The 21,270-nt window shown below is 44.2% G+C and overlaps 1 protein-coding gene and 1 non-coding gene across 51 annotated transcripts in view; one reads left to right on the top strand and one right to left on the bottom strand.

The window, feature by feature from the left end:
- CDK12 (cyclin dependent kinase 12) overlaps positions 1-21,270 on the bottom strand; it is a 106,074-nt gene that overhangs the window by 77,265 nt on the left and 7,539 nt on the right. For 34 of the 50 annotated variants that reach the window (XM_047436256.1, XM_047436261.1, XM_047436260.1 and 31 more), the window contains exon 2: positions 18,532-19,416. In XM_047436256.1, the coding sequence (XP_047292212.1) occupies positions 18,532-19,416 (885 nt within the window). The remainder of the gene's footprint in view (positions 1-18,531; positions 19,417-21,270) is intronic. The other 16 variants (XM_047436262.1, XM_047436264.1, XM_047436263.1 and 13 more) reach the window with 1 other exon arrangement.
- Positions 7,707-7,809, top strand: LOC124904107 (U6 spliceosomal RNA). Its single transcript, XR_007065982.1, has one exon. It is a non-coding gene; the product is annotated as a U6 spliceosomal RNA (small nuclear RNA).

The raw sequence follows: 21,270 nt of genomic DNA, 5'->3' as shown, positions 1-21,270 counted from the left end.
CCTGGGTTCAAGTGATTCTCCTACCTCAGCTTCCCAAGTAGCTGGGATTACAGGCGTGTGCCACCATGCCAGACTAATTTTTGTATTTTTAGTAGAGATGGGGTTTCACCATGTTTGCCAGGCTGGTCTTGAACTCCTGGTCTCAAATGATCCACGTGCCTCGGCCTCCCAAAATGCTGGGATTACAGGCGTGAGCCACCATGCCTGGCTGAGATAAATTTTATAAATAGAAATCTATAGTATATTTTAAAAACAATGAAATATTTGTGATATTACTTGCAGTTCCCTTTATCAAACTCTTAATATATCGTTCCTAAGATTTTATTTGGAGTTTTATTGAGATGAAATAAAATTCACCTGGGCATGGTGGCTCACCCCTGTGATCCCAGCACTTTGGGAGGCTGAGGCAAGAGGATTGCTTGAGGCCAGGAGTTTGAGACCACCCTGGAAAACACAGTGAGACTCCATCACTACAAAAAATTAAAAAAAAAAAAAAAAAATTAGGCCAGGCACGGTGGCTCAAGCCTGTAATCCCAGCACTTTGGGAGGCTGAGGCGGGCAGATCACGAGATCAAAAGTTCGAGACCAGCCTGGCCAACATAGGGAAACCCCATCTCTACTAAAACTACAAAAAATTAGCCGGGCATGGTAGCAGCTGCCTGTAATCCCAGCTACTCAGGAGGCTGAGGCAGGAGAATTGCTTGAATCGTTCCAGTGAGCCAAGATCGTGCCACTGCACTCCAGCCCAGGCAACAGTATGAAACTCCGTCTCAAAAAAAAAAAAAAAATTAGAACAGGCACAGTACTCATGCCTGTAATCCCAGCACTTTGGGAGGCTGAGGTGGGCAGATCACTTGAGGTCAAGAGTTGAAGATCAGCCTGGCCAGCCTGGTGAAACCCTGTCTCTACTAAAAATATAGAAACTGGCCAGGCACGGTGGCTCACGCCTGTAATCTTAGCACTTTGGGAGGCCAAGGTGGGCAGACTGCCTGAACTCAGGAGTTCGAGACCAGCCTGGGCAATACAGTGAAACCCCATCTCTATTAAAATACAAAATTTAGCTGGGTGCACCTGTACTCCCAGCTACTCAGGAGGCTGAGGCAGGAGAACTGCTTGAACCCCAGGGGTGGAGGTTGCAGTGAGCTGAGATCGCGCCACTGCACTCCAGCCGGAGAGACAGAGTGAGACTCCATCTCGAAAAAAAAAAAAAAAAAATTAACTGGGTGTGGTGGTGTAATTCCAGCTACTCGAGAGGCTGAGGCAGGAGAATTGCTTGAGCCTAGGAGGAGGAGGTTGCAGTGAGCTGAGATCGCACGACTGCACTCCAGCCTGGGTGACAAGACTCTGTCTCAAAAATAATTAGCTGGACATGGTGGTATAAGTGTGTGTTTCCAGCTACTTGGGGGCAGATGGCAACCGGCAGTCCTGGGGTGGGAGCATCATTTGAGCCCAGGAAGTCAAAGCTACAGTGAGCCATCACCATGCCATTGCACTCCACCCTGGGCAACAAAGGGCAGCTCTGTCTCGAAAAATAAAAAATTTAAAAATAGAAATAAAATGCAGGAAGTAATTTTCTTAAATTCACAAAGTATCACTGCAACTCGTGGAGTTCATCGAATTTACTCTACATTTTAGCAAAGATTTAACAAACAAGAAGAGCTCAACAATTTAATACTACTCTATCGCTAAAGAGGTGCAAAAATCTTGGAAAAAAGAAATAGTATTTTAGAATGCTTTCCCTGTAAAAAATATAAATTGCCGAAGATATTTACAAAAAAATAGAAATATAGCTAAGTTGTAAGTCAAAACTAATAAAAAATATACTGAATCATTCCGTTCACTTCAAAGCAGAAGGCAAACCTGACCAGCCAAAATAGACAATCATCAAACTAAAAATCTAAAGAAAAAGGGTCCAAGCAACTATTTCAGAATTATTAAGGCACCTGGTGGCAGAAGCCTCTCCCAGTAATCAGTAAATTATAGTAGTCAGTGGGGTTTTGTAGAAAGATAGGTTTCCAGGAATAGATCAGAAAAGTCAGTTTTCAATCTTTTTTTTTTTTTGAGACAGGGACTCACTTTGTTGCCCAGGCTGGAATGCAATGACACAATCATGGCTCACTGCAGCCTCAATTTCCCGGGCTCAAGCAACACTTTCACCTTAGCCTCCTAAGAAGCTGGGACCACGGCACACACCAACACACCCAGCTAATTCTTGAAATTTTTTGTAGAGACAAGGTCTTGCCATATTGCCCAGGCTAGTCACAAAATCCTGGACCTCCCCAAGTGATGCTCTTGCCTCGCCTCCTACCACGTATGGCCCAGATACAATTTTTTGCCTATCTCAATTTATTAATAAGTGGTAGAGAAATTTTGTGCCAAGAGCCAGGTGTGGTGGCTCATGCCCGTAATACCAACACTTTGGGAGGCCAAGGCAGGCGGATCAGTTGAGCCCAGGAGTTCAAGACCAACCTGGCCAACATGGTGAAACCTCATCTCTATTAAATAAAGATACAAAAATTAGCTGGGCATGGTGGCATGTGCCTGTAGTTCCAGCTACTTGTGAGGCATGAGAATTGCTTGAACTGGGGAGGTCAAGGTTGCAGTAAGCCGAGATCGTGCCACTGCACTCCAGCCTGGGTGACAGGGCAAGACTTTATCTCAAAAAAAAAAAAAAAAAAAAAAAAAAATTGTGTCATGCACATCCTCAGAAAAAATAAGACATCTATAGTACAACAGACTAACTCATGTCTACAAATAAAATCAGGCCAGATAGGTCTTCTCTATTCCTTCACAGTATCAGATGGTTGAAAAAGATCTGAGAACCTTAACCACAGGCAATCTTCTCTATTTTTATGACAGGTAGTTATAAAGGAAAATATTGGTGCTTTGCATGAATATTTCCTAGACCACAAAGATCTATCTCTTGCAATGTATCTTTTTAAAGAATACTGTTAACCCTTGTGTGTGAATTTTCCATAAAAGAATGTCATTTACTCAAAATATAAGAACATAAATCTCAACAGCTATTGACTCCTGCCAATTTTTATCGTTTTAATCCCTTGTAAATCAGACAGAACAATACAATATAGGTTAGTTTGTACCACATCAACCAGAACTGGGATAGTCAGTGGAGTAGATAATGATCATCTGAAACTTTCTGTTGAAATACTGGGAGAGATGAACATGCAACATTATTATAATCTGCACTCAGATTTTTCCATCCTAGAAACAAAACTTATTATCAGAAAACTCTTTGAGTCACAATGTAATATAGATTCTTTTTTTTTGAGACGGAGTCTCCCTCTATTGCCCAGGTTGGAGTACAGTGGTGCAATCTTGGCTCACTGCAACCTCTGCCTCCTGGGTTCAAGTGATTCTGCTACCTCAGCCTCCCAAGTAGCTGGGACTACAGGCGTGTGCCACTACGCCCGGCTAGTTTTTTGTATTTTTAGTAGAGATGGGGTTTCACCATATTGGCCAGGCTGGACTCGAACTCCTGACCTCATGATCTGCCCACCTCAGCCTCCCAAAGTGCTGGGATTACAGACATGAGCCACCGCACCCCACCAACATAGATTTTTTAAATTATTCTAATTTTTAAGATGTTCAGCGAAAAAAAACTTGTAATTTCTCAACCACTGTCGGAATATTCTTTACAAATCTCAATTCCTCATTATTCAAAACAGATTTCTTCTTGGTTTGGCTTCACTAGAAGAACAAGAAAAATCAGGCTGAGCATGGTGACTCATGCCTGTAATCCCACTACTTTGGGAGCCAAGGCAGGAAGATTGCTTGAGCCCAGGAGTTCAAGACCAGCCTGAGCAACATAGTGAGACCTTATCTCTAAAAAAAATAAACAAAGTTAGCTGGGAGTGGTGGCATGCACTTCTGGTCCCAGCTACTATCGAGGCTGAAGCGAGAGGATCACTTGAGCCAGGGAAGGAGGCCAAGGTTGCAGTGAGCCATGATTGTGCCACTGCACTCCAGTCTAAGTGACAGAGCAAGATTCTGTTTCACAGAAAAAAAAAAAAAAAAAAAAAAGAGGCAGGGTGCAGTGGCTCATGTCTGTAATCCCAGCACTTTGGGAGGCCAAGCGGGCGGATCACCTGAAGTCAGGAGTTCAAGACCAGCCTAGCCAACATGGTGAAACCGCATCTCTACTAAAAGTACAAAAATTAGCTGGGCATGGTGGTGCACTCCCAAAATCCCAGCTACTTGGGAACCTGAGGAAGGAGAATCGCTTCAACCCAGGAGGCAGAGGTTGCAGTGAGCCAAGATCACCCCACTGCACTCCAGCCTGGGCGACAGAGCAAGACTCTGTCTCAAAAAAAAAAAAAGAAAAAGAAAAAAGAAAAATTAAGGTATTTTAATTGTGTCATCATCATTTCAAATAAATTCAGTCTATGGTTTTTTGTCTGTTTGGAGACAGGATCTTGCTGTGTCACCCAAGCTGGACTGTAGTGGTGCAATCATAGCTGACTGCAGCCTCGAGGCTCAAGTGATCTACCCACTACAACATTCCAAGCAGCTGAGACTACAGGTGCATACCACCACAGCTGCTTTTTTTTTTTTTAAGAGACAGGGGCCAGGCACAGTGGCTCATGCCTATAATCCCAGCACTTTAGGGGGCCGAGGCCGGGGATCATGAGGTCAGGAGATCAAGACCATCCTGGCAAACATTGTGAAACCCTGTCTCTACCAAAATACAAAAAAAATTAGCCAGGCGTGGTGGCACCCGCCTGTTAGTCCCAGCTACTCAGGAGGCTGAGGCAGGGGAATCACCTGAACCCGGGAGGTGGAGATTAGTGAGCTGAGATTGAGCCACTGCACTCCAGCCTGGCGACAGAGTGAGACTCTGTTTCCCAAAAAAAAAAAAAAAAAAAAAAGGGGGGGGATGCCTAAGCTCTGGTCTCAAACTCCCACCTGAAGCAATCCTCCAGCTTGGCCTCCTAAAGTGCTGGGATCACAGGCATCAGCCACCATGCCCAGCCAATCTGTGTTTCATATTTTTGTTTTCTCCAATGTTTACTTTATGAGCTCAAATAAAGTACTAATACAGATTAGGTACTCTCTTATCCACAATGCCTCAAACCAGAGTGTCTGAACTTTTTTTTTTTTTTTTTTTGAGACAGAGTCTCGCCCTGTCGCCCAGGCTGGACTGCAGTGGCGCGATCTCAGCTCACTGCAAGCTCCGCCTCCTGGGTTCACGCCATTCTCCTGCCTCAGCCTCCCGAGTAGCTGGGACCACAGGCACCCACCATCACGCCTGGCTAATTTTTTGTATTTTTAGTAGAGACGGGGTTTCACCATGTTAGCCAGGATGGTCTCGATCTCCTGACCTCGTGATCCGCCCGCCTCGGCCTCCCAAAGTTCTGGGATTACAGGCGTGAGCCACCGCACCCGGCCTGAGTGTTTCAAATTTTTAAAATTTTTAGATTTTGGATTATTTGCATTATACTGGATGAGCATATTCAATGCAAAAATCTGAATACTGAAATGCTCCAATGAGCATTTCCTTTGAGTATCATGTCAGCGCTAAAAATGTTCCTGATTTTGGAGGATTTCTAGATTTTTGGATTAGGGATATTGAACATGTATGAAAAATGTATACTGCTTCTAAAATATTACATTTTTAGCATGTTTATTTCAAGACAGAATGAGTATTTGATAGGTTATGTCCTACCAGTTCAGGATATACAATTTGAATAGAGGTCAAATCCTGTTTCAGTAAATTCCAATGTACTAAAAACCTTGAAAATTTAATGACAGCCTCAAAACTACAATGCTTAACATTATCACCTTTAGCATAGGACACTCAGTATTATAAAGGGTTGCGGACATGTGGTACATGCAAAGTGAGTCTATCATAGGGGAGCAGATACTATACATCACAGTCATTACTTGAAAAGTCACTACCAGGAAGCGCTGATGTACCCTAACTATATCAGTATTTCCTAGTTCCCCATTTATACCTATACACAAATTCACATGTGGTAATTAGGTTTCATAATACATGTGTAATTTAAAAACCTACCAAGCTCTAGGACTGCCAAACTTTTAGAATATGAATAGTATTTTGGAATCTGAACTGAATCTGTGGGTGTAATGGAAACACTTCTAATAAAAATACTGTTAATAAAAAAAGAATATAGACCAGGAATGGTGACTACGGCCTGTAGTCCCAGCTCTTTGGAATGCCGAGGTAGGCATATCACTTAAGGCCAGGAGTTTGAGACCAGCATGGCCAACATGGTGAAACCCTGTCTCTTCTAAAAATACAAAAACTTAGCCAAGTGTGGTAGCTCATGCCTGTAATCCCAGCCACTTGGGAAGTTGAGGCATGAGAATCACTTGAACCTGGAGGCAGCAGTTGCAGTGAGCCAAGATCATGCCACTGCACTCCAGCCTGGGCAACAGAGCAAGATCCTGTCTCAAACAAAAAAAAAAGAAAAAATATAAAATTTATAAATATTTACGCCAGGGGTGGTGGCTCACGCCTGTACTCTCAGCACTTTGGGAGGCCAAGGTAGGCGGATCATGAGAGTAAGAATCCGCCTCAAAAAATAAATAAATAAATAAATAAATAAATAAATAAATAAATAAATTGTAACTGTTTAAAAAACACTAAATTTTTCAATGAGATAATTTGCCCATTTTAACAGCGTAAACTACTTTAAATATAATCCTTTATCTCCTTCCCCTTGAAGTTGGTTGTTTAAAACATGATTTCAGACCAGGCACGGTGGCTCATGCCTGTAATCCTAGCACTTTAGAAGGCCAAGGAAGGTGTATTCCTTGTGTCTAGGAGTTCTACTACCCTGGACAACACAGTCAAACTCCATCTCTACAAAAAAGTACAAAAATTAGCCAGGCATGATGGCACGTGCCTGTAGTCCAAGCTACTTGAGAGGCTGAGGTGGAAAGATCGCTCCAGCCTAGCAGGTAGAGGATACTGTGAGCTGTGCACAGGCCACTGAACTCCAGCATGGGCGACAAAGGGAAAACTTGTCTCTTAAAAAAAAAAAAGAAAAGAAACAGTGATTTCACCACTATTTACAAACTTTTATCAAAAATTTAGTTGAGCCAGGGCGAGGTGGCTCACGCCTGTAATGCCAGCACTTTGGGAGGCCAAGGCGGGTGGATCACTTGAGGACAGGAGTTCGAGACCAGCCTGACCAACATGGTGAAACCCCGTCTCTACGAAAAATACAAAAATTAGCCAGGCGTGGTGGCACAAGCCTGTAACCCCAGCTATTCAGGAGACTGAGGCAGCAGAATCACTTAAATCCAGGAGGCGAAGGTTGCAGTGAGCCGAGATCATGCCACTGTACTCCAGCCTAGAGGACAGAGTGAGACTCCGTTTCAAAAAAAAAAAAAAAAAAAAATTTAGTTGAGGCAGGCATAGTGGCTCTCACCTGTAATCCCAGCACTTTGAAAGGCTGAGGCAGGTGGATTGTTTGAGGCCAGGAGTTAGATAACAGCCTAGCCAATATGGCATAACCCCTCTCTACTAAAAATACAAAGATCAGCCAAGCATGGTGGCACATGCCTGTAATCCCAGCTGCTTGGGAGGCTAAGGCACAAGAATTGTTTGAACCTGGGAGGCGTAGGTTGCAGTGAGCTGAGTTCATACCACAGCACTCCAGCCTGGGTGACAGAGAGACACTCTGCCTCAAAAAAAAAAAAAAAAAAAAATGTAGTTGATTGTTCACTTTGGCAGCACATACACTAAAACCGTAACAATACAGAAAAGATTATCATGGCCCCTGCACAAAGATGACACAAATTCGTGAAGTGTTCCCTAAAAAAAAAAGTTTAGTTAAGTACATAAAAAATGGAAACCAAGCATCCCATTCTACTAGGAAAATCCTGGTTCATTTGGAGTTTACTGAACTTATAGAGATACAGCCTTTAAAAATAATGTAGACTCCCCTGAAGTTCAGTACGCTCCAAATGAACAAGGCTATTAGAAAAACAGAGCAAGGCCAGGTGCGGTAGCTCAGGCCTGTAATCCTAGCACTCTGAGAGGCCGAGGCGGGTGGATCACCTGAGGTCAGGAGTTCAAGACCACCTTGGCCAAAATGGTGAAACCCCATCTCTATTAAAAACACAAAATTAGCAGGGTGTGGTGGCACACGCCTGTAATCCAGCTACTCAGGAGGCTGAGGCAGGAGAATTGGTTGAACCCAGGAGGTGGAGGTTGCAGTGAGTGGAGATCACAACACTGCACTCCAGCCTGGGCTAAAAAAAGCGAAACTCTGTTAAAAAAAAAAAAAAAAGGCAAGCCAGGCTCATGCCTGTAATCCCAGCACTTTGGGAGGCCGAGGCGGGCAGATCACAAGGTCAGGAGTTTGAGACCAGCCTGGCCAACCTGGTGAAACCCCATCTCTACTAAGGATACAAAAAATTAGCCAGGCATGGTGGCGCTTGCCTGTAATCCCAGCTACTTGGGAGGGTGAGGCAGGAGAATCACTTCAACCCGGGAGGCGGAGGTTGCAGTGTGCCGAGATAGTGCCATCGCAGTCCAGCCTGGGCAACAGGATGAGACTTTGTCAAAAAAAAAAAAGAAAAAAGAAAAGAGAAAGAGAGAGAGAGAGAGAGAGAGAGAGAGAGAGAGAGAGAGAGAGAGAGAGAGAGAGAGAGAGAGAGAGAGAGAGAGAGCGCGCGAGCGAGCAAGCACATAAGTGCTGGGCGCAGTGGCTCACACGTGTAATTCCAGCACTTTGGAAGACCAAGGTGGGCAGACTGCTTGAGCTCAGGAGTTCGAGACCAGCCTGTGCAACATGGCAAAACTTGGTCTCTACCAAAAATGTAAAAAAAAAAACAGCCGGGCATGGCTTGTGATTGTAGTCCCAGCTACTCAGGAGGCTGAGGCCAGGAGGTGGAGATTGCAGTGAGGCAAGATCACGCCAGTGTACCCCAGCCTGGGTGACAGTGAGATTCTGCCACAAAAAAAAAAAAAAAAGAGAAAGAAGAAAAGAAGACTTTAAAAATTCTATATGGTTAACTGAAATTTCTTTTTTTTTTTTCTTTTTTTTTTTGAGACGGAGTTTCGCTCTTGTTGCCCAGGCTGGAGTGCAATGGCGTGATCTCGGCTCACCGCAACCTCCGCCCCCCGAGTTCAAGGGATTCTCCTGCCTCAGCCTCCCAAGCAGCTGGGATTACAGGCATGGGCCACCAAACCCTGCTTATTTTGTACTTTTAGTAGAGACGGGGTTTCTCCATGTTGGCCAGGCTGGTCTCCAACTCCCGACCTCAGGTGATCCGCCGGCCTCGGCCTCCCAAAGTGCTGGGATTACAGGCGTGATCCACCACTCCCGGCTGGTTAACTGAAATTTCTAAGAAAAGTATACAGATGATCTACTTAAGGCAGAAATATATCCATTAATAGCTATGGTCATGTAGATTGTACTATGTTGGACGTGGGCTGCCTTGCTTCTTGAAATCAAGAATTATAGACCACAAATGAGAAAGGCTTTTGAAATACCATTAGCTGAATTCACTCTTGCATTTGATACCTGAGCTAGTACACTCCTATTCAAAATACATGTTTGAAAGAAAAGAAAAGTTTCGGCTGGGCGTGCTGGCTCACACCTGTAATCCCAGCACTTTGGGAGGCCAAGGCAGGTGGATCACTTGAGGTCAGAGGTTCGAGATCAGCCTGGCCAACGTGGTGAAACCCTCTCTCTACTACACATACAAAAAATTAGTTGGAATCCCAACTACTTGGGAGACTGAGGAAGGTGGATCGCTAGAACCCAGGAGGCAGAGGTTGCAGTGAGCTGAGATCGCACCATTGCACTCCAGCCTGGGCAACTAGCAAAACTCTCAAAAAAACAAAACAAAACAAAAAAAAAACTAGCTGGGCATGGTGGTACATGCCTGTAATCCTAGCTACTTGGGAGGGTGACGCAGGAGAATCACTTGGGATTCAGAGATGGAGATGGAGGTTACAGTGAGCCAAGATCACGCCACTGCACTCCAGCCTGGACGACAAAGTAAGACTCTGTCTCGGAAAAAAAAAAAAAAAGTAAAGTTTCATTCTTTTCCCAAAATGACACTAAATCCTCTAGGCTGGACACGGTGGCTCGCGCCTATATCCCAGCACTTTGGGAGGCCCAGATGAGTGGATCACATGAAGTCAGGAGATTGCAATCAGCCTGGGAAAGATGGTAAAACCCCGTCTCTACTAAAAATATAAAAATTAGCTAGGCGTGATGGCGGGGGCCTATAATCCCAGCTACTCAGGCAGCTGAGGCAGGAAAATCGCTTGAACCCAGGAAGTGGAGGTTGCAGTCAGCCGAGATCACGCCATTGCACTCCAGCCTGGGCAACAAGAGCAAAACTCTGTCTTAAAAAAAAAAAAAAAAGCCAGTGCAGTGACTCACGCCTGTAATCCCAGGACTTTGGGAGGCCAAGGTGGGTGGAGCACCTGAGGTCAGGAATTTCAGACCAACCTGGCCAACATGAGGAGACCCTGTCTCTACTAAAAATACAAAAATTAGCCAGGCATGGTGGTGAGCACCTATAGTCTCAGCTACTTGGGAGGCTGAGGCAGGAGAATTGCTTGAACCCGAGAGGCGGAGATTACAGTGAGCCGAGATCATGCCACTGCATCCTAGCCTGGGCAACAGAGCAAGACTCTGTCTCGGGGGAAAAAAACAAAAAACAAAACAAAACAAAAAAAAACAGACAAATCCTCTAATGTAAGCTTTATGTTCTTTATGTGCACACTGACTTCTTTTACAAGTCCACTGTCATTTCACACAAGCCCTGATCCTGGCTCCATTAGAAGTTTTATTTACCCATCAATTAAAATAACCAACATTACTAATTGCATTCTGTATTCCACCCACAACATACTAAAAATGATGTGTAAGTCACATTCTCAACATTATGCTGCTGCAGTCTCGAGTGAGAAGATAAAACAGAGAATATAAGTGAGCTCCTTACAAAACTTTTAGATTTTTTTTTTTTTTTTTTTTTCAGACGGAGTCTCGCTCTTGTCGCCCAGGCTCGAGTGCAGTGGCATGATCGCGGCTCACTGCAAGCTCCGCCTCCCGGGCTCATGCCATTCTCCTGCCTCAGCCTCCCGAGCTGCTGGGACTACAGGGGCCCGCCACCATGCCCGGCTAATTTTTTGTATTTTTAGTAGAGACGGGGTTTCATCGTGTTAGCCAGGATGGTCTCGATCTCCTGACCTCGTGATCTGCCCGCCTCAGCCTTCCAAAGTGCTGGGATTACAGGTGTGAGCCACCGCACCCGGCCATTAGATTTCTTTCTAAAAAGCTTTCCTATGTAAAAATTACTTTTCATGTCAAAGATAGGAGCAGCTGGTACATGGATATGGAGCAGCTGGTACATGGATATAGCAGCACACACACACATACAAAATAGAAACAGAAACACATCATGAATTTAAAATAAAAAAATAAAATTGATAATGGAAGACATCCTCATCTCATTTTCTTTGATACAACATCTCACTGTTATCCAGGCTAGAGTGCAGTGGTGCGATCATGGCTCACTGTAGCTCTGACCTTCCAGGCTCCAGTAATCATCCCACCTCAGTCTCCCAAGTAGCTCAGACCACAGGTGCATGCTATCATGCCTTTTCTTGTTTAATGGTAGAAACAGGGTCTGGCTATGTAGCCTAAAACACATGGGCTCAAACAAGCCTCTTGCCTTGGCCTCCCAAAGGGCTGGGATTATAGGAGTGAGCCACAGCACCTGGTCTATTTCCGTTTTTCTACCTTTAATAATTTATTTATATGTAGAATACTGATAATAATCATGGCCAGGGCTGGGCACGTTGGCTCATGCTTCCAATCCCAGCACTATGGGAGGCCAAGGCAGGTGGATCACCTAAGGTCAGGAGTTCGGGACCAGCCTGGATGACATGATGAAACCCTGTCTCTACTAAAAATACAAAAAAATTATCCGGATATGGTGGCATGCGCCTGTAGTCCCAGCTACTGGGGAGGCTGAGGCAGGAGAGTCATGTGAACCCCAGAGGCAGAAGTTGCAGTGAGCTGAGATTGAGCCACTGCACTCCAGCTTGAGTGACAGCAGGAATCCATCTCAAAAAAAAAAATAATGGCCAAACTCAGTGGCTCACACATGTAATGCCAGCATTTAGGGATGCCAAGGTGGAAGGATCACATGAGTTGAGGAGTTTGGGACAAACCTGGGCAACATAGCAAGACCCCGTCTCTTAAAAAAAAAAAAAAAGAGGTGGAGGAGGAGATGGCTAAAAAAAAAAAAAATCATGTTTAAAAATAATTAGATGGGCCCGGTGCAGTGGCTCATGCCTGTAATCCCAGCACTTTGGGAGGCCGAGGCAGGCAGACCCCGAAGTCAGGAGTTCAAGACCAGCCTGGTCAATGTAGTGAAACCCCGTCTCTACTAAAAATACAAAAATAGGCGGGGTGCAGTGGCTCACGCCTGTAATCCCAGCACTTTGGGAGGCCAAGGTGGGCAGATCACGAGGTCAGGAGATCGAGATCATCCTGGCTAACACGGCGAAACCCCATCTCTACTAAAAAATACAAAAAATTAGCTGGGCGTGGTGGCAGGCGCCTGTAGTCCCAGCTACTCGGGAGGCTGAGGCAGAAGAATAGCGTGGACCCAGGAGGTGGAGCTTGCAGTGAGCCAAGATCGAGCCACTGCACTCCAGCCTGGGCGACAGAGCAAGACTCTGACTCAAAAAAAAAAAAAAAATAAATAATAAATAAATAAAAATAAAAATACAAAAATTAGCTGGGCACAGTGGCTCACGTCTGTAATCCCAGCACTTTGGGAGGCCAAGGTGGGTGGATCACCTGAGGTCAGGAGTTCGAGACCAGCCTGACCAACACAGTGAAACCCCGTCTCTACTAAAAATACAAAAAAATGAGCTGGGCATGGTGGCATGCGCCTGTAGTCCCAGCTACTTGGGAGGCTGAGGCAGGAAAATCGCTTGAACCCAGGAGGTGGAGGTTGTGGTGAGCCAAGATCGCGCCACTACACTCCAGCCTGGGCAACAGGGTGAGACTCACTCCAGCCTGGGCAACAGTGAGACTCCAGACTTCATCTAAAACAAAAACAAAAATAAAAACACTACAAAAATTAGCCAGACATGGTGGCACACACCTGTAGTCCCAGCTACTCAGGAGGCTGAGGCAGGAGAATCGCTTGAACCCTGGTGGTGGAGGTTGTGGTGAGCCAAGATGGCACCACTGCACTCCAGCCTGGGCAACAGAGTGAGACTGTCTCAAAAAATAATAATAATAATTAGATTAGGGCTGGACTTGGTGGTTCACGCCTGTAATTCCAGCACGTTGGAAGCCCGAGGCAGGTGGATCATTTAAGGTCAGGAGTTTGTAACCAACATGGTGAAACCCCCATCTCTAATAAAAATACACAAATTAGCCAGGCGTGGTGGTGGGCACCCGTAATCCAAGCTACTCAGGAGGCTAAGGCAGGAGAATCGCTTGAACTTGGGAGGCGGAGGTTGCGTGAGCTGAGATTGCCCCATTGCACTCCAGCCTGGGCGACAGAGCAGAACTCTGTCTCAAAAAAAAAAAAAAAAAAAAAAAAAAAAAGGCAGGCATGGTGGCTCATGCCTGTAATCTCTGCACTTTGTGGGGCCAAGGCAGGTAGATCACCTGAGATCAGGAGTTCCTGACCAGCCTGGCCAACAGGGCGAAACCCATTGTCTACTAAAAATACAAAATTAGTTGAACATGGTGGCAGGTGCCTGCAATCCCAGCTACTTGGGAGGCTGAGGCAGGAGAATTGCTTGAACCCGGGAGGCGGATGCAGCCGAGATCACATCACTGCACTCCAGCCTGGACAACAAGGGCAAAAATTCCATCTCAAAAAATAAATAAATAAAATAATAAATAGTTGGGGCACGGGGATTCATGCCAGTAATCTCAGTACTTTGGGAGGCTGAGGCGGACAGATCATGAGATCAAGACATCGAGACCATCCAGGAGAAATATGGTGAAACCCTACCTCTACTAAAAATACAAAAATTAGCTGGGTGTGGTGGCGGGTGCCTGTGGTCCCAACTACTCGGGAGGCTGAGACAGGAGAATCGCTTGAACCCTGGGAAGTTGCAGTGAGCCAAGATCTTGCCACTGCACTCCAGCCTGGCTATGGAGAGAGAATCTATCTCAAAAAAGAAAAAAATCATCAAGATGCTTTTTGTTTCCTAAACATTTTTCTGAAGTAAAAAAAAAAAAAATCAAGATTCTTACCCACATTAATATTCTAGCCACTATGTAAACAAGTATTGAAATGAGGTTCCTATAGCTAAAGGGCCAGGGTCCCTTTGGACAATGCTCAACTATTTCCTTTTCCAACAAAAACTATAAAAATATGGCTTTTATCTTTTTATCTATGGCTTTTATCTATCTATATTTTGGACCTCAAGTTAATTTTTTCCACATAAATTTGAGATTCTGTTCCTGACATGGTGGCTCACACCTGTAATCTCAGTATTTTGGGAGGCCTAGGTGGGCGAATCACGAGGTCAGGAGTTCGAGACCAGCCTGGCCAACATGGTGAAACCCTGTCTCTACTAAAAATACAAAAAATTAGCTGGGCGTGGTGGCAGGCACCTGTAATCCTAGCCACTCGGGAGGCTAAGGTAGAAGAATCGCCTGAACCTGGGAGATGGAGTTTGCAGTGAGCCAAGATCGCCACTGCACTCCAGCCCGGACAACAGTGTGAGACACCGTCTCAAAAAAAAAAAAAAAAAATTTCAGGTTCTCTTCTCTTCTGTAATTTTCATCACGTGGCAGAATTTGTTATTACTTTTTAATTAAAATTTTATTTTTAAAGACAGGGTCTCTTTCACACAAGCTGGCGTACAGTGGCCCAATCATAGTTCACCGTAGCCTTGAACTCCTGGGCTCAAGTGATCCTCCTGCCTCAGCCTCCCAAGTAGCTAGGGCTAAAGGTACCTGCCACCACATCCAACTAATTTTTAAATGTTTTATAGAGATGGGGTCTCACTATGTTGTTGTCCAGGCTGGTTTTGAACTCCTGGCCTTAAACAGTCCTCCCACCATGGCCTCCCAAAGTACTGGGATTACATCCACAAAGCTCAGTCCATAAATACCTATTAATGTTAGAAAGAGTATATGGAATTTTTCTTTAAAATCACATTTTGGGTTGGGTGCAGTGGCTCATGCCTGTAATCCCAGCACTTTGGAAGGCCCAGGTGGGAGAATCATTTAAGGTCAGGAGTTCGAGACCAGCCTGGCCAACATGGTGAAACCCTGTCTCTACTAAAAATACAAAAATTAGCCAGGCATGGTGGCACATGCTTGTAATCTCAGCTACTCAGAGGAGCTGAGGCATGAGAATCACTTGAACCCAGGAGGCAGAGGCTGCAGTGAGCTGAGATCGCGCCATTGCACTCCAGCCTGGGCAACAGAAAGAGACTCCATCTCAAAAAAAAATAAAAATAAAAAATCAGATTTTGGCAGTCTGGTAATGCCAAAAAAAAAAAAAAAAAAAAAAGGAAACATCATATTTCTTTCTATAGTGATGGAGCCATTCCTTAAAATAGTTTTTTTCCCCCTTTCCATTTACTGTACTTGCATCTTCTCTAAAGAACAGAGGGTACGAAAAAACATACTTTCTCACCCAGAGGGCTGCAATGTATCATCATTCAAATGACCAATATTGGCCGGGAGTGGTGGTTCATGCCTGTAATCCCAACACTTTGGAAGGCCAAAGCAAGCGGATCACTTGAGTCCAGGAGCTCAAGACCAACCTGGGCAACATGATGTAACCCCATGTCTACAAAAAATAAATTAGCCGGGTGTAGTGGCATGCACCTGTAATCCCAACTAGTCAGGAAGCTGAGGTGGGAGGATCACTTGAGTCTGGGAGGCAGAAGTTGCAATAAGCCCAGATCACACCACTGCACTCCAGCCTGGGGGACAGAGCCAGATCCTGTCTCAAAATAAAATGAAATAAAATTACAATTATCACCTTGAAAGGAATGAAGGCTTGGGAATTAGGCTAGGATGCAAGATCGGTGGCACTTAATTTTGTGCTTACAATGAAAAGTTTGTTTCAATAAATGCAATTCACATCCCAAAGAGCACAATATCACAGTAGAATAAGCAAACCATAACACAAAGACTGCCATCACATGTCACTGCTAAAGCAAGTGTGTTTGGTGGTACTTGCCTAGTTAGTCCTGTCAAGATATTAAGGAAATACATATATACTGTTTTGAGACAAAGTTTCGCTCTGTCACCCAGGCTGGAGTGCAGTGGCATGACCTCGGCTCACTGCAGCCTCTGCCTCCTGAGTTCAAGCAATCCTCCCACCTCAGCCTTCTGAGTAGCTGGGATTACAGGCGCCTGCCACCACGCCTGGCTAATTTTTCTTTCTTTTTTTTTTTTTGAGACGGAGTCTGGCTCTGTTGCCCAGGCTAGAGGGCAGTGGCACGATCTCAGCTCACTGCAACCTCCACCTCCTGGGTTCAAGTAATTCTTCTGCCTCAGCCTCCCGAGTAGCTGGGACTATAGGCAACCGCCACCACGCCCAGCTAATTTTTGTATTTTTAGTAGAGACAGGGTTTCACCATATCAGGCTGGTCTTGAACTGCTGACCTCATGATTCGCCCGCCTTGGCCTCCCAAAGTGCTGGGATTAAAGGCATGAACCACCGCACCTGGCCACACCCGGCTAATTTTTGTATTTTTTTTAGTAGAGATGGGGTTCCATCGTGTTGGCCAGGCTGGTCTTGAACTCCTGGGTTCAAGTGATCTTATCTACCTCGGCTTTCCAGAGTGCTGAAATTACAGGCGTGAGCCACCAAGCCCAGCCTTAAAGAAGTATTTTTGTTAATGCCTTCTATAAAATTAGATTCATGCTTCATAATCATTTCAGTTCTCAATATACAGAGGACTCATTAAAATTAAAGCTCTTCCCATCATCCCATTGTGAATTATATTCTAATTAGCAAATACTTTACATATTATTCTTTTACTTTTTATGGAATAATTTCTTTTTTTTTAAAGCAGCCCTTTTCAAAATAATCCTAGTTTGGACCCTGGGATCAGGAGAGAAAAAACAAACCCGGCTATAAAAGACATTTTGTGAGTTATTTTGAATTCCAACTGAAAACAAAAACCAACAATAAAGACATTTTGGGGGCTACTGGGACTATTTGGTTAAATATTATGATTATTGATAGCTTTTTTTTTTTTTAAGACGGAGTCTCGCTCTATCGCCCAGACTGGAGTACAGCGGCGCGATTTCGACTTACTGCAACCTCCGCCTCCCAGGTTCACGCCATTCTCCTGCCTCAGCCTCCCAAGTAGCTGGGACTACAGGTGCCTGCCACCATGCCCAGCTAATTTTTTAAATCTTTAGTAGAGGCAGGGTTTCACCGTTGTTAGCCAGGATGGTCTCGATCTCCTGACCTTGTGATCCGCCCGCCTTGGCCTCCCAAAGTGCTGGGATTACAGGCGTGAGCCACCGCGCCTGGCCGATAGCATGTTATTTATATAACTATTGATGTTACTAAGTCAATGTTAAATTTTTCAGGGTGATGAAGATATTGTAATTATATAGAACGTTATTATTAGGAGAGACACACTGAAATATTTAGAAGTAAAGTGTCATGATATCCACAGAGCAAATACGGCAATATGCAATCTTGGCTCGCTGCAACCTCCATATCCTGGGTTCAAGCAATTCTCCTGCCTCAGCCTCTCAAGTAGCTGGGATTACAGGGGCCCACCACCACGCCCAGCTAATTTTTGTATCTTTAGTAGAGATGGGGGTTCACCATGTTGGCCAGCCTGGTCTTGAACCCCTGACCTCAGGTGATCTGCCTGCCCTAGCCTCCCAAAGTGCTGGGATTACAGGCATGAGTCACTGCATACAGCCTATTATTCTTTTAATTTTTCTATAGGTATTAATATTTTCAACAAAAATTTAAGGGAAAACTCGATTTTTTTAAAATTTTAATCAAAATTAGCATTATCAATAAACTTAGGCTAGGGATGGTGGCTCATGCCTGTAATCCCAGCACTTTGGCAGGCCCAGGTGGGAAAATCACTTGAGGTCAGGAGTTCCAGACCAGTATGGCCAACATGTTGAAACCCCATCTCTACTAAAAACACAAAAATTAGCCAGGCATGGTGGTGCATGCCTGTAGTCCCAGCTGCTGGGGAGGGTGAGGTGGGAGAATCGCTTGAACCTGTGAGGCAGATGTTGCAGTAAGCTGAGATGACGCCACTGCATTACAGCCTGGGCGACAGAGCAAGACCATGTCTCAAAATACAAAAAATACAAAATAAATAAAATAAACTTAATGATAAAATGGGTTAACCAGGCCTCAAATTCTAATTCTCTCTTCCCAAGTAATAATGTCATAATTACAGACTTTCCCACTGAAAATATCAAAGACATTTCCTGTTCATAAAACCATGAGGGTAGTGTTGACAAAGATTAAAACAGAAAATGCTTTATGTTTAGATCAAGGGGGTTTTTTCCAGTTCACTATAGGACTTACCTATCCATGTCATCATCTCCAGGTAATAAGGGTGGGAGGGGCAAAGGAGGCAACGTTGAAGTTTTCAGGTGTGGAATAGCAGCTGTTACAGATACTTGAGTCTTCACAGAAACCTGTACAGGGGGCTGAGAATTTGCCTGAGAGGACACAGCAGATGTCTTTGAGTGAGTAGAAGGGGGCAAAGTTGAAGTACTGGAAGCAGGAACCTGACTAAATGCTGGCTGAGAAGGAGGCAGAGGTGGTTGCTGTGGAAGAGCTGGTATTGGAGGCAAAGGTGGCAAAGGGGGTGTCTGAGGTGGAGGGGTAGTAGTTGGTAGAGGGGGTGGGGGAGAAGCAATTGTGGGAAGAGGTGGAGGGGTCTCCTTTTCTGATGTTTCTGTCTCCTTTGGAGTAACAATCTCCTCTTTCAGTGCTATGGGTTTAGAGTCTCTTGTTCCCTGTGCTTTCAAATCTTTAACAAGATGCTTCTCGGAGTTCTCATCCAACTTTACTTTCCCTGTATCTGAAGAATTTTTTACCTCTGTGTTTAGATGTGTTACATTCACCAGTTCAGTATCTGGGGCAGATTTTTCCAATTTTACACTTCTGGGTAACTTTTTAGACTCCAAACCTGAATCCTTAGCCTCTACTGAACTGTTCTCTTTTCTAGGCAAAAATACAGGTGAACCCTTGGACTCCTTTCCATCCATCTTTGCTGCAGCAGCAGCAGCTGCTCTTTCCTTCTTTTTCCTACTGAGTTCAGCTCCCAGACTGGAATTAAGTGGAAGCCTGACAGGTGAGATACTGGAATGACGACTGCGTGAACTGGATCTCTTCTTTTTACTATGAGAAGATGAATGTCTTGAATATGCAGGACTTCTACTTCTGGACTTCATGGATTTCCTACTGGAAAAATAAAAAGCCAGTTTTAAATGAATGGACTACAGTAGTATATGGAGGAAAACAGATCAATAAAACAAACTATGAAGAACTGTAACTTATCAATTGTAAAATAGATTAAGTGCCATCAAAAACGAGGACAGTCTGAGAAACCAGCCCAATCAAGAGGCACCCCAAGGAGACAGGACTAAATGTAAGATGGTATAATGAGTAAGATCCTGGAACAGAAAATGGACATTAGGTAGACTAAGTAAATCTAAATAAAGTATGGACTCCAGTTTATAATTATGTATCAATATTGGCTCATTAACTGTAACAACTGTACCACATTAATGTAAGATGTTAACAATAGGAGAAACTGGATGCAGGGATATATGAGACTTCTTTGCGCTATCTTCACAATTTTTCTGTAAATCTTAAACTACTCTAAAGAAATAAAGTTCATTTAAAAAATAGATTAAACTGGCTGGGCACGGTAGCTCACACCTGTAATCTCAGCACTTTGGGAGGCTGAGGCGGGCAGATCACCAGGTCAGCAGATCGAGACCATCCTGGCTAACACGGTGAAACCGCATCTCTACTAAAAAATACAAAAAATTAGCCAGGCGTGGTGGCAGGCACCTGTAGTCCCAGCTACTCAGGAGGCTGAGGCAGGAGAATGGCATGAACCTGGGAGGTGGAGCTTACAGTAAGCCACTGCACTCCAGCCTGGGCGACAGAGTGAGACTACATCTCAAAAAAAAAAAAAATAGATTAAACTAAATCCTACATGAAAACATATCTGAATCATATAACAATAAAATTATCTACTACTTATTCATCTGAAAAAAGATGGGTCACTATTTTTTTCCCACATTGGAAAAGAAACAGCCATACTCACAATGATTACTTTCAGAATTTTGAATTTAATCTTTGATAAAGTGAAAACAGGATAAGGCAGTCATGCTTGGCCAGGTGCGGTGGCTCACGCCTGTAATCCCAGCACTTTGGGAGGCCAAGATGGGTGGATCGCCTGACATTGGGAGTTCGAGACTAGCCTGACCAACATGGAGAAACCCCGTCTCTACTAAAAATACAAAATTAGCCAGGCGTTGTGGTGGGCGCCTGTAATCCCAGCTACTTGGGAGGCTGAGGCAGGAGAATCGCTTGAACCCAGGAGGCAGAGGTTACGGTGAGCCGAGATTGTGCCACTGCACTCCAGCCTGGGCAACAACAGCAAAATTCCGTCTCAAAAAAAAAAAAAAAAAAGAAGTCATACTCCATAGTAAAGGTGGGTTATATCCATCAGGAAGTTAAAAGCAACAAGCATGCTTCACCAAAACCTAAATTTGTTAGCTAGAGAGTTAAATGGCAGAGCCCAGAAAAATATGTTGTTCCTTGCATCCTCAGTTTATAATAAAGTTGTAAAGTTTAAAATAAAGTACTAAACAAATTCCCAACACATAAGGCTTAGGATTTACAAAACAAATAAAGTGGAGAAAATGATTTACCAAAATAACTTTTAGAACGTTTCAAAAACATGAGGGCTCCTAATATCTTTATTATAAAATGATTTCCAATAGACTTTTTAGAAACTCCTAAAGATATTATTGCATGTTTAATTAATTGTCTTCTTAAGAAAGGCTTTGGAAATAAAATCTGGGAATCTATGGGGCAGATCATTTTAAGTTGAAACCCAAATGTCATTAATTCTCATGACTTTTTACTAAAGCCTAACCTGCTAAGGCCTCAATGTGTGACAAAACAAAAAACCAACAAAGGCCGGGTGCTGTGGCTCACGCCTGTAATCCCAGCACTTCGGGAGGCCGAGGCAGCAGATCACGAGGTCAGGAGATCAAGACCATCCTGGCCAACATGGTA

Source organism: Homo sapiens, chromosome 17 (genome assembly GCF_000001405.40).
Source record: "Homo sapiens chromosome 17, GRCh38.p14 Primary Assembly".
Classification (NCBI taxonomy): Eukaryota; Metazoa; Chordata; class Mammalia; order Primates; family Hominidae; genus Homo; species Homo sapiens.
Note: the sequence above shows the minus strand (reverse complement) of the source record. Positions and strands in the feature narration are given on the sequence as shown.